Source organism: Homo sapiens, chromosome 14 (assembly GCF_000001405.40).
Source record: "Homo sapiens chromosome 14, GRCh38.p14 Primary Assembly".
Classification (NCBI taxonomy): domain Eukaryota; kingdom Metazoa; phylum Chordata; class Mammalia; order Primates; family Hominidae; genus Homo; species Homo sapiens.
The window spans coordinates 100,226,122-100,239,142 of record NC_000014.9 but is presented as its reverse complement, the minus strand read 5'-3'; the positions used below and the strand labels follow the sequence as shown (position 1 = coordinate 100,239,142).

The 13,021-nt window shown below is 46.6% G+C and overlaps 1 long non-coding RNA gene across 1 annotated transcript in view, besides 5 other annotated features; it reads left to right on the top strand.

Annotated features, from left to right (window-relative positions):
- Nucleotides 85–937: an enhancer, noted in NCBI's record as "H3K27ac hESC enhancer chr14:100704543-100705395 (GRCh37/hg19 assembly coordinates)". NCBI's record gives its function as "activates a minimal SCP1, AML or CMV promoter by ChIP-STARR-seq in primed H9 embryonic stem cells {active_cell/tissue: H9 hESC(primed)}" and the evidence as "EXISTENCE:reporter gene assay evidence [ECO:0000049][PMID:30033119]".
- Nucleotides 108–187: a silencer, noted in NCBI's record as "silent region_6080". NCBI's record gives its function as "represses an Ori minimal core promoter by ATAC-STARR-seq in GM12878 lymphoblastoid cells {active_cell/tissue: GM12878}" and the evidence as "EXISTENCE:reporter gene assay evidence [ECO:0000049][PMID:35858748]".
- Nucleotides 248–847: a silencer, noted in NCBI's record as "silent region_6079". NCBI's record gives its function as "represses an Ori minimal core promoter by ATAC-STARR-seq in GM12878 lymphoblastoid cells {active_cell/tissue: GM12878}" and the evidence as "EXISTENCE:reporter gene assay evidence [ECO:0000049][PMID:35858748]".
- YY1-DT (YY1 divergent transcript) overlaps nucleotides 522–13,021 on the top strand; it is a 31,542-nt gene continuing 19,042 nt past the window's right edge. Inside the window, exon 1 of the long non-coding RNA NR_189150.1 lies at nucleotides 522–672. This is a non-coding gene — a long non-coding RNA (YY1 divergent transcript). The remainder of the gene's footprint in view (nucleotides 673–13,021) is intronic.
- Nucleotides 5,817–6,317: an enhancer, noted in NCBI's record as "H3K4me1 hESC enhancer chr14:100699163-100699663 (GRCh37/hg19 assembly coordinates)". NCBI's record gives its function as "activates a minimal SCP1, AML or CMV promoter by ChIP-STARR-seq in naive H9 embryonic stem cells {active_cell/tissue: H9 hESC(naive)}" and the evidence as "EXISTENCE:reporter gene assay evidence [ECO:0000049][PMID:30033119]".
- Nucleotides 6,318–6,818: an enhancer, noted in NCBI's record as "H3K4me1 hESC enhancer chr14:100698662-100699162 (GRCh37/hg19 assembly coordinates)". NCBI's record gives its function as "activates a minimal SCP1, AML or CMV promoter by ChIP-STARR-seq in naive H9 embryonic stem cells {active_cell/tissue: H9 hESC(naive)}" and the evidence as "EXISTENCE:reporter gene assay evidence [ECO:0000049][PMID:30033119]".

The window sequence follows — 13,021 nt, the reverse complement described above, 5'->3', positions numbered from 1 at the left end:
AAGGCGGCGAGCGGGCGGGGGGAGAGGGGGCGGGCGGCGGGGGAAGGGGCGGGCGCCGCGGCGGCGGCGGGGCTTCCCCGCCTCCCTCGCCTCGGTGCGCCCGCGCCCGCGCTCGCTCGGCCGCTGCTCGTCTCGGCTCCCCGCCTCGCCTCGCCTCGCCGCAACCGCCCGCCCTGGCCGCGCCTCCTCCCGCCCTCCGGGCCGGCGCTCCGCTTCCCCCTTCCTCCTGCGCCTCCGCCTCCTTCCACACAAATACCAACTCCTCAACCCGAGCCCAGATCTCGCCGCCGCCGCCACACTCTGCTCGGGCCCGGCCTCGCGAGACTTCCGCGCTGGCCTCAGCCCGCCCCGCCTCGCTGCCACTCGCCCGTTCGCCCTCTCGATTCTCCTCTCGGCCAATCGATCTGTCCGCTGGCCTCCGCGGCCCCGCCCACTCGCCGGGCTCCTCCCGGATTGGGGCCGATGGGACCGGGGGCGGGGCGGCTCGCACGCGCCCTGGCTGGCCCGCGGCGCGTGACGTCAGCGCGCCGCCGCCGCCGCCACCGCCTCCCGCTTCCCGGTGTCGCGCGGCTGCCGCCCTTCGCGGTGCAACAGCCACAAAACCCGCCGCCTCGGGCCGGGGCCGCACTCGGGAACGGGGCGTCGCCGCTACAGCCGCTGCCTTGGGAGCCGGTGAGCGGTCCGCGCGGCCCCGGGCACCACGGGGGCGGGAGCCTGAGGAGAAGGGAGGGAGGGGCCGGCCGGGAGCGGGGTTGAGGCGGGTGGGCGGCCCGGGGGCCGCGCGGGGAGCGGCTGGCGCGTGCGGGGCGGCCCTGTCGCCCCAATAAAGTCTGCTTTGACGAGAATCGCCTGTGCTTCCTTTTTCGCGTCGGGAGGTGTTTGTTCTTGTCGCCTGGCTTCGGGCGAGCGATGGCCGCGGGGTGAGTGTGGAGGACCGAACGGACAAAATCGGGCGACGCGGGCAGCGTCCGGTATCTCGCCGCGAGCGCCCGGCGGGGTGCGGGGCCGAGCGCGGGGTCGGCGCGAGCTCGGCGGAAGCGCCCGCGGAGCCCCAGGGCCACCGTTGGGAGGATGTCCGTTATTCTTTAGTGACCCGCGGAAACCTGAGACGCAGCCGTTGGGTGCCTGTTTCCCCGTAGATCTTAGAACTACAGGGTCCTGGCGGCTTTCTAAAATTTTCTCCTGAGCTTCCCCTTCTTTGCTCTCCAGTCAGCCATTGTTTCCCTTGCCCACCCTTTCCCCCTATTTGTCACTTTCATAGGTGCTCCTTTTTACGCCCACCAGGTTTTGCATTTGTCTCATTTAAAATTCCAAATTTTTTCAGCCGTGTCCTCCATTGTACCTGCAACAGAGCCTAGATTTTTTTTTGTGGCACGGATTAGCGGCAAGTTAAACCTTCCTGAATGAGTTACATTGCAGCGAAGTGTTTCTGCTCTTATCTGTCCTTTTGGTCGACCTGACAATTTGCCTTAAAGCAAAACAAAGATTTCCTGATTTTTAAGGAAACTATGACAAATTGAAGAGTTGGAAAGGTGTGTCTTTGTTGTACTCGTTTGGCCGATTTAACGCCTCTGTGAATTTGTTCAACTTAAATATTATCAACATTTACTGTTTTGTAATAGTGTTCATGCAGTTGAGGCCCATGATTTTCTGAACTGTACGCAATACATTAATCTTAGGCTCAACTTGTTAAAACAAGTAGACTATACATTCTCATTAAAAGGCAACTTTATAAATCCTAGTCCCTTCTTATTGCTAAATCGCATTGGACTTGACTTTTGAGAATATTAGTGTAAGGAGTGACAAATTAGATCGTTTTCTCTTTGAATCTGAGCTTTGAAACCTGAATAATTCCCCTTGGAGTACTGCACCCACTCAGTTTGGAAAAGTCAAATCTGTTGAATTAAGTCATCTCTGGCTTTATAGCTTATAAACTCTGCATAAATATTTCATGAATGGAAACCAGTTGTGGGAGAACTTTTACATGTCTTAATGCTTTTTAAATTTCACTTTCCCCACTCTCTAGTAATTGATGGGGAAATGGCACTGCAAGTAGTTGATACTTCCCCATAAACACCAATTGTGAGAGCAAGAGAAATGAGGGAATTACCCATTAAGCATCCTGGTTTCTGAGCTGTAGATCTGTAGGTGTTCACATTCAAGTGGAGAAAGCCCAAAAGGATTGAAAGCTTTGAGGAAAGGTAGTAGGTCAGAAAGCACTAAAATGCTCCTGAAGGCCATCCTAGTACCTGCTCCAGAAAATAGCTTTTTAAACTTGCCCCATAGGAGGTGACCTGTTAGGCCTTAAGTTTTTCTAGTGGGAGATATTCTTGTTTTCTACTGTTTAACGGTGGAGTATCTTATGACTAGACATGCAAAGATAATGTGTCGTGTGGCTCTCGCTTGCTTGCACTTGCTAAAGGTAAAAATTATTTTAAAAGGACAGGTCAAATTGCAGTTTCAGAATCATGGGATTCTAAAAGTGAGGATAGGCTGGGCGTGGTGGCTCACACCCATAATCCCAGCACTTTGGGAGGCTGAGGTAGGTGGATCACCTGAGGTCAGGAGTTCCAGACTAGCCTGGCCAACATGGTGAAACCCCGTCTCTACTGAAAATACAAAAATAAGCTGGGCGTGGTGGTGCACGCCTGTAGACCCAGCTACTTAGGAGACTGAGGCAGGTGAGTTAATGGAAACCAGGAGGCGGAGGTTGCAACGAGCCGAGATCGCGCCACTGCACTCCAGGCTGGGTGACAGAGTGACACTCTGTCTCTAAAAAATAGTAATAAAAGTGAGGATAAATTTAACTGCTGTGGGTTTTTTTGTTTTTGTTTTTCTGAGGCAGGGTCTAGCTTTGTCTCCCAGGCTAGAGTGCAGTGGCACAATCATAGCTTACTGCAGCCTTGAACTTCTGGATTCAAGCAGTCCTCCCATCTCAGCCTCCCAAAGAGCTAAGGACTACAGGTGCCCCACCACATGCCCAGCTAATTAAAAAATTTTTTTTTTGGATATGAGGTTTTAAGGGCTCTGTTGCCCAGTCTGGTCTCCTGCCTTGGCCTCCCAAAGTGCTGGAGTGCACCTAGCCTCCCTACTTTTATTCTGTTCTGTTTGTACAAAATGCATTGGGATTCCCTCTGAATTCCTAGAGTCCTTTTATTTTGGCAATAATTGATTATTGTCTCTCAACCCTATCTGAGCAAAGGCCATGGCTTTGTCAGCTCAGTGCCTTGTGCATGAAGTGATGCCTTGTACGTGAAGCTTGCTTTTTTTTTTTTTTTTTTTTTTTTTGAGATGGAGCCTCGCTCTGTCACCCAGACTGGAGTGCGGTGGCGCAATCTTGGCTCATTGCAACCTCCGCCTCCCGGGTTCAAGCGATTCTCCTGCCTCAGTCTCCCGAGTAGCTGGGACCATAGGCCCGCACCACCACACCTGGCTAATTTTTGTATTTTTATTAGAGATGGGGTATTGCCATGGGTGGCCAGGCTGGTCTTGAACTCCTGACCTCAAATGATCCACCCACCTCGGCCTCCCAAAATGCTGGGATTACAGGAGTGAGCCACCGCGCCTGGCGATCACTTGCTTTTTGATTCATGCAAAAACGTGAAGTTTAAAGTACCATGGCAGAGGGGAATTCTGTGTGATGTTGCTTGACCATTTCTTAGTCACTACAACCTCCGTCTTCTGGGCTCAAGCGATTCTCACTGCGGTGAGCCGAGATCATGCCATTGCACTCCAGCCTGGGGAACAAGAGCAAAACTCCATCTCAAAAAAAAAAAATTGAACATCAGCAACTATAGAAGAAATAATATTAGATACATCACAACAGTTGTGCAGAGCTTTCTAGAATCTCCAAGAAATCAGAGCTCACTAATGGCTGAGGAGATGCAGTGACAAATATTCTACAAGTAATATTCCTTTGACTACCTTCTCAGCACAGCAGCAGGACAAAGATGTGGACTGTCAGCTGACAACTCCTTTGCCATCTCCTCACCTCCCTCATTTCCCATTCATTCATTTTCTGAAACTTTCATTAAATACTCAAACTTGGGTTCAAGGAAGGAGGGTGAGGAGTGAGAGTAAGCAGAAGAATAAAGGCTATTAAGAGATGCTGATACCTCTCCTTCCTTGCCTAGTCCAGACAGTGTGTTCTCCTTTATTGATTACAGGGAGGCTATTAAATCTGATTCAGCTATATCTCTAACAGATTGGGATTGATTCAAGTCATGAACTCATGCTAAATAATTTTCCTTATCAGAACTAATTTGGCTGCCTCATGAAATTGCTTTGTGGTTCTAATGTTTAGTTCTTTTGCAGTTCCTTCAAGTAGGAAGGAAATAGGTGCTCTGCATCAGTTACAGTATTGAGACTGTTAGAGCCAGATGGGGCATCTAGTCCACATTTCATTTTGCAGACAAGGAAACTACCTAGGAGATGTGCTCAACGTCACATGGCGGTGTGGTAAAAAGGTAGTGATTGAGGTGAAAAGCGAGAGCTTGACTTTCCTGCCTTTTGTGAGACTGCAAAACCTATGTAAGTTTCAGTAGTGTGATCCTGTTCCAATTCACATCCACGCCCAGTTTTCAATGAAATGTTTACAAAAATCAGAATGAAAATTTTTGTGCATGCATCCAAATTAGTTACCCCTAGTTTGGATCCAAGTTAAATGAAAAACTAGGTATGTACATGTTCTTAACTGTCTAAACTATAGATACCTTCTTGGTTGTGGAGTCTTTGAAACCTGAGCTATTAAAGGGATACTTTCCCACCAAATCAATGCATATATTAGATTTGGAGTTTAAATTATGGTGAAATACCCTGTGTTTGTTTGTTTTTTTTTTTTTAGACAGGGTCTCACTGTGTCACCCATGCTGGAATGCAGTGGTGTGATCTCTGCTTGCTGCAACCTCTGTCTTCTGGGCTCAAGTGATTCTCCTGACTCAGCCTCCTGAGTAGCTAGGATTATAGGTGCATACCACCATGCCCTGATAATTTTCTTATTTTTAGTAGAGACGGGGTTTCACCATGTTGCCCAGGCTGGTCTCAAACTCCTAAGCTCAAGCAATCCACCTGCCTTGGCCTCCCAAAGTGCTGGGATTACAGGCATAAGCCATTGTACCCGACCCCTAACTATATACTATATATGTTTATATGGGGTTTTTTTGTTGTTTTTTTGAGATGAAATCTCACTCTGCCACCCAGGCTGGAGTACAGTGGCACAATCTTGGTTCACTGCAACCTCCGCCTCCCGGGTTCAAGCAATTCTCCTGCCTCAGCCTCCCAAGTAGCTGGGATTACAGGCACGCACCACCACGCCCTGCTATTTCGTTTTTATTTTTAGTAGAGACAGGCTTTCATCATGTTGGCCAGGCTGGTCTTGAACTCCTGATGTCAAGTGATCCACCGGCCTTGGCCTCCCAAAGTGCTGGGATTACAGGCACCATCCACCGCACCCAGCCTCCTAACTATATGTTAATAGGTGAAATCTCACGTCTATAAAGCTGGCACCCTTTATGTAGTATTTTATGTCCTTTTATAAGACCTTAATTAAATTCTTTTTCTTAGGCCAAGTGGTTTATTACAATGATTGAACCTGATTATTGCCCATAAATATAAAGAAAGTTGAAATCTTTAGTAATAGATTAGCCTCTGTTTTTCTCTGCTTTGCTAGTATAACGTCCCTCCAAAGAAGAAGCTAAATCAACTTAATTGTACTGAAGTTGCTCCTACTGCCCACCCATCCCAACAAATATGGAATGCACAATTAAACAGAATGGAATTTTTTTTTTTTTTTTTGAGACAGGGTCTCACTCATTGCCCAGGCTGGAGTGCAGTGGCAGGATCTCAGTTCACTGTAGCGTCAACCTCCCCAGCTCAAGAGATCCTCCCTCCTCAGCCCTCCAAGTAGTTTGGACTACAGGCATGCATCATCACACCCAGCTATTTTTTGTAGAGACAGGGTTTTGCCAAATTGCCCAGGCTGGTCTTGAACTCCTGAGCTCGAGGGATCTGCTCGTATCAGCCTCCTAGAGTGCTGGGATTACAGGCGTGAGCCTGGCCAGAAATTCTTTAATCCATGGTAACGTCCTTTTTTTTTTTTTTTTTTTTTTTTCTGAGACAGAGTTTTGCTCTGTCGCCCAGGCTAGAGTGCAGTGGCGCGATCTCAGCTCACAGCAAGCTCCACCTCCCGGGTTCACGCCATTCTCCTGCCTCAGCCTTCCGAGTAGCTGGGACTACAGGAGCCCGCCACTGCACTTGGCTAATTTTTTGTATTTTTAGCAGAGACGGGGTTTCACCGTGTTAGCCAGGGTGGTCTCGATCTCCTGACCTCATGATCCACCCGCCTCGGCCTCCCAAAGTGCTGGAATTACAGGCGTGAGCCACCGTGCCCGGCCAATCCACGATAACTTTCATAGCCACACTGGTTTTCACAGAAGCACATTTATTGCAGTGTGGAAAATACAGGAAGTCGATTCAGGTATTTGTGTGTGTGAGGCAGGTGAGCGTGGTGGAGTGGGAAGAGCTTATGTGATTTGGGAGTTAACTTGTCCTCTCTGTGAAACTGGGCAGTAACCTTTCTGATAGGAATTTTTTTCTGTTTGTCAGAAAGGAGTGACGCCCCACAGGGAGTTAGGTGAGACCAGCTGTTCAGTCACCATTTACCTCGCACTTGCAGTGCAAGGCCCAAAGGATAGATATAGCTGTGAACAAGAACAAGACAAGCAAGCCTGGCTTCACAGAGTCTACAGGCCAGAGGGACTTCGGCTGTGAACAGATAGTTCAAAAATACATATCTAAAAAATTTCTTTTTCTTTTGAGACAGAGTCTCTCTCTGTCGCCTAGGCTGGAGTGCTGTGGCACAATCTCAGCTCACTGCAACCTCTGCCTCCCGGGTTCAAGCGATTCTCCTGCCTCAGCCTGCTGAGTAGCTGGAACTACAGTCATACGCCACCACACTCGGCTAATTTTTTTGTATTTTTAGTAGAGATGGGGTTTCACCATGTTGGCCAGGCCGGTCTGGAACTCCTGACCTCAAGTGATCAACCTGCCTCGGCCTCCCAAAGTGCTAGGATTACAGGCATGAGCCACCGCGCCCAGCCCATACCTAATATTCATTTATAGAAGTCCTACAAAGAAGTGAGAGTTTGGGGACAGAGAATCTAGCCTAGCCTCGCAAGGTAAAGGCCTTCATGAGAAAGGGACATTTCAACTGTGACTTGAAAGTTGAACACAACAAGAAGTGCCCATCCCAGTGTTTGGCTTTTTTTTTAGTGTTAATATCTGTGTGAAACAGGAGTAGATAAAATAAATCAGGTGATAGATCTGTAAATATTTTGAATAAACTCAGAGCGCTCAGTATAAAAGGGCTGTATTTAGCCTTGGAAAATCAACAAATTAGTTCACTGAAACTGCTGCTGAGGATGGCTGTTGATTAACATTAGGCACTTGATTAAGATTAGGTCCTACTTTTTAATTTTTACTTGTTTTTTATAAGCCATTTCTTCCAAGTTCCCATTGAACTTGGGGGTTGATAGTGGAAATTGTTTTGGAGTTCTGGGCCTTGGAAGGTAGACCAGCTGCCAAGGGAATTAGAAAGGTTCTTAGCTGCAAAACTGGTAAATGGGAAGAACAGAACGTGGAGTCATACAAATTTGGGTTCAGGTCCTGGTTCTGCCATTTATCACCTGTGTAACTATCAGAAAAACTTGTAACTAATCAACTTGTCATTTTTTCAGCTGTAAAACAGGAATAAGCCGGGTGCAGTGGCTCACACCTGTAATCCCAGCTCTTTGGGAGGCCAAGGTGGGTGGATCACTTGAGGCCAGAAGATTGAGACAAGTCTGGCCAACATGGCGAAACCCCGTCTCTACTAAAAATACAAAAAAATTAGCTGGGCGTGGTGACACATGCCTGTAGTCCCAGCTACTTGGGAGGCTGAGGCAGGAGAATCGCTCATACCCGAGAGATAGAGGTTGTGGTGAGCCAAAATCACGCCCCTGCATTCCAGCCTGGGCGACAGAATGAGACCCTGTCTCAAAAATAAATAAATAAAACGAATAAAAATATCAGTCTTCAGGAGTTATAGAAATCTGTAAGGGTAAGTAAAATACTTGAATCAGGTGTGCAAATTAAGGAAGAGGGCACAGTGTTTGTACTCTCCAGGACTGGTTCTGTTTCCTTCTTACCCTTGTTCATAGGTGAACTGGCCTGCCCACTCACATCTTAGCATCTGTGTTTGTTCTTTGCATTTAGGCACTGCTGACTTCAGGACTAATGCTTATAGACAGGACCCAGTGTTCACTTAGTTTCTTAGGGTAGATGAGGACACATTGCTAGCCAGACCTTTTTTTTTTCTTCTTCTTCTTCTTCTTCTTTTTTTTTTTTTAAGAGATTTGGTATATTAGTGATAAGCTTTTAAAATCTGAGCCTCCAGAACCTGATGTGTTTGCCTCCTAGGTATCTCTCAAACCCAACTCTTCTCCATGCCTGTGACTGCTGTCCTCACACGGGCTCTGGCTCTCTCCCCTCACCTCTGCTGACCAGCTGCTCTAACTGCCTCCAGTCTTCCTTCCCCAAGGCACTCCTGGATTTTCCTAGCATTAGCATGTAACCGTATCACTGCCCTGATCAAAGTCTTCAGGGGCTTCCCAGGGCTTCAGCTCCTCAGCAAGGCATTCCCAAGCCTTCCAGCCTTATTCCCCGTCCTTCCTATTACCTCGAGGTGTGTGGACCATGACAGTTCCTATCTTTGTTTTCAGAGCGATCTTTTCCTCTGCCTAAAATATCCTTTCCCACCTTCTTCAACTTTATACTTCTTCCAGGACAGCCTGGATGACCTCTCTAGGACACTTTCCTTGGAAGGGTGTTTCCATAGCACTCTCCCCAAATTGTTGTCATTGTACTTACATTATAATACGTGTGTCCTTACATTTTAATACATGTGTCCGTTAATGTTTTTATTTTCCCACAAAAGCACACGAGGTTCTTCGAGGGCAGGGATGGGTGTCTCATTTGCCTCTTATTTCCAGAGGGAAAAGAGTCAGCCCAGTCTGGACACACGGTGGGCCCTATGTGAACAGAGATACCTGCTGATGCTACTGCCTCTGCCCTCCTTCACCACCTATTGCCTGTAGGGTAGTCCAGAATCCTTAGCTGGGCTTTAAGCAAACATGGTATGGCAAAGAAAAAAGACCTGATTTGAATATTTATTGACTATTTAGTCCATTGACTAGCTAAATGATCTTAGAGGAGTTTCTGAATCTCTCTGGGCCAATTTCTTCATCTGTAAAAAAGGAATATTACTGTTCAATATTGTTATAAAGTGTGATTGAAATAACGTACAACACTCCTGGCATGTAATAGGTGCTAAATACATTTCCTCATCTCTTACTGTTTTTCTCCCTCCCCCCTGCACTATTCTGAGCAGCCTCCACCTGCCACACACACACACACACACACACACGCACACACTGAAGTCACAGACGCTTCGTTGTTGGTGAATACATCCCTCCATTTTTCATCCCTCCACTAAGGGATGCCTTCTTCACATCCACCTGCCTCTCTACTCTGTTCAGATCCTGCCTGAACTAAAGGCTTGCCCAGATCCTGCAGTTAAAAGGAATTTCTTCTCATTCCTTTCCTGCTCTATTTCCCTATAGCATGTAATATTTCTAACTTAATAGTCAGCTGTCTTATTTTAATCACTTGAAGATAGTTAACTGGGTTGGAAGCTTCTGGGGGAAAGGATGTTTCTTCTGCATTTTTGTAGCTCACTGTGGTTCTGAGCACTCTGGGTCTGGAACATGTGAAGTGTTAAATAAATGGTTGTTCACTGTAGCCCGGAGAGTTGGGGATGATGGGAAGATGCTTCTCAACCTGGCTAAACAGTGTCTTCACAGTCTTAAAGGAATCAGACTCTCTGGGAACTCAGTTTTAGCTTACTTGTCCTTAAGACTTTTGAGTGTTATTAATCTCTATGATATCTGGCAATTAGACATAATTCTAGAAAATCCATTTCAAACACAATGAAAAATCAGTCTTGGACTTCGTTTATAATGTGATGAAGGTAAGGAAATTGCTTGCCCCAAACTACATGAAAGTGATATATATTTCTAATTATGTTCTCAAAGGGATATTCCAAAAGGAGTTAGTGCTGCGGAAATCCTTGAAGTAGACTGTGTTTTGGGAAAATCATTTCGACAAGCTCAGATTCAGCGTCCATAGAAAACAACGATTTCCAGTCTTATTGATTGATGTATTAAGCCAGTCGTTAGCAGGGAACAGTGTGCAATCTGTGTTACAGGTAGTTAGGGATGTTTTATAGACGTGCTCACACATACCTCTTCTAGCCATTAAGTAGTAATTTCCCTTGGACTCTGCTTATCCCTTTTTTTCTTCAAACCTTTAAACTCTAGATGCAAAGCTTCCTAGATGGAGAATAGAACTGTTCCACTTCTGGCGTCTACCAGAAGTGGTAGAAGTGGCTTCTACCCATGGCCTCCAGTAAGTAGCCATTTCCAGCAGTGAGTTCATGCTGAAAAGATTCATTAGTACCCATCTCTTCCAGTGTTCAGAGTCACAAACTAGCCACTGCCCTCACACATGTATAGCTCTTAAGTCACATCTCCTCATCCTATATTTGGACTATTGTTCTTTTAGGGTCCAAATTTAGTAGCTTACTTATTACATAATAAATGTAATGTGTACATTTTCATCTTATTAGATATATCTGTCATATGAACCTACTGATGTTGGGGGGGGCGTGTCTTGACTCTCATTCAACATATTTGTTACCTGCCAGCTTGATATTAATAATAACAGCTAACTCTCATGTAGCCCTTACCATGTGCCAGGCATTGTTCTAAGCACACATATTAACTCATTCAGTTGGCACAGCCGTGAGGTGTAGGTACTGTTAACTCCATTTTATGGTTTAGAGATATTCAGATGTGTGATCAATATACACTTTATGGGGTGCTTTTTCAACATTAAACTTAGTAAAATCTGGGTTATGTGTCATAAGTACCTTCTAGAAACCACCTAGGGGAAATAGTTGGATACACTATTGTATATCATGTGCGTGTGTGTGCATTCCCTGTGGCAGTCACTTTGTTGCCTACCCAACTATTCGTTTTTTTTTTGAGATGGTGTCTCCCTCTGTCACCCAGGCTGGAGTGCAGTGGCAAGATCTCTGCTTACTGCAACCTATACCGCCAGGTTCAAGTGATTCTCCTGCCTCAGCCCCCCAAGGAGCTGGGACTAGAGGCGTGTGCCACCACGCCTGGCTAATTTTTGTATTTTTAGTAGAGAAAGGGTTTCACCATGTTGGCCAGGCTGGTCTCTAACTCCTGACCTCAAGTGATCCACCCACCTCAGCCTCCCAAAGTGCTGGGATTACAGGCGTGAACCACCATACCCAACCCCAACTACTCTTTCAACAACCAATGTTCTTTCCTTACAGAGCCTCAGTTTTTTTCTTTTCAGATATAGAGTAGAAATCTTCTGATGCCTTGAGGAGAGGGAAAGAATCTACCTTAGCTTGAGAAGTGAATCCTGATTGGTTGAACAACCAAGGCAATCTTACTCCCTTCGGCCAGTGGTGGATCTGCAGAGTTGGGGGAATGCGACCCAGTTCTGGCCAGTGAAATGTAAAGGGAAATGTGTTACTAGAGAAGCTTCTCTTCCCTAATAAAAAGATAGAACTTCAGAATACAGCCCTCCTTTTGCCTGCCTGAAAACCTGTGTGATGGCCAGGGCGGCGGCCACCACCTAAAGAAAAGGCTAAGAGAATTACAGTCATTGGTCAGGCACTATCAATCATGAACTCACTACCACTGGGCTGCACATGTGAGCCACTGTACAGGGATGTTGGTAACTCGAAATGGACCTATTCCCAACTGATAGTGATGCACATCAGACTGTCAGTAGTTCCCTGCGGAAATGGGTGGGGCATTGTAAGGGGAGCTAACTCTTCTGTATGGCAAAAGAGTCTCCTCTTGGGAGTTTTATGGGCTACCTATGTGCAATCCACCAGATATAAAACCATAGATTTTATAAATGGTTTTAACATGAAGAGGGACTGTGATAAAATGAGCACAAATGTAATGTAGTTTGCCTCTGCAAACTAGGATTTGGGTGATTGGGTTTATTTTGTATTTTTATTTTTTGGGGATAGGGTCTCACTCTGTTACCCAGGCTGACTTGAACACAGCTCTCTGTAGCCTTGACTTCCCAGGCTCACGGGATCCTCCTGCCTCAAGCAATCCAGCCTCCTGAGTAGCTGGAAGCACAGGTACACACCACCGTGCCCAGCTAATTTTTTTTTTTTTTGAGATTGGGTTATCACTCTGTCAGCCAAGCTGGAGTGCAGTCGCGTTTTCATAGCTCACTGCGACATTGACCTTTCTTGCTCAAGCGATCCTCCCACCTCAGCCCCCTGAGTTGCTGGAACCACAGGCACACACCACCATGCCCAGCTAATTTTTGTATTTTTTCTAGAGACAGGGTCTCGCTATGTTGCCAGGGCTGGTCTTGGACTCCTGGGCTCAAGAGATCCTCACGCCTCACCCTCCCAAATTCCTGGGATTCAAGGCATGAGCCACCGTGCCCAGCTAATTTTTAAATTTCTTTTGTAGAAACGGGGTCTCCCTATATTGCCCAGGCTGGTGGGCTCAAGCAGTCCTCCTGCCTCAGCCTCCCAAAGTGCTAAGATTACAGATGTGAGACACTGCATCTATTGGTTTTATTTTTTACTTTGTATGTGTGTAGTAATCAAACATGCATTTAAAAATTTTTGTTACAAAATGCACATAACAAAATTTACCATCTTAACCATTGTATGTATTTTTTTTTTTAATTTTGTTTTTTGAGGCGAAGTCTTGCTCTGTCGCCCAGGCTGGAGTGCAGTGGCACAATCTTGGCTCACTGCAACTTCCGCCTCCTGGGGTTCAAGCGATTCTCCTGTCTCAGCTTCCCAAGTAGCTGGAACAGGCACACACCACCACACCCAGCTAATTTTTGTATT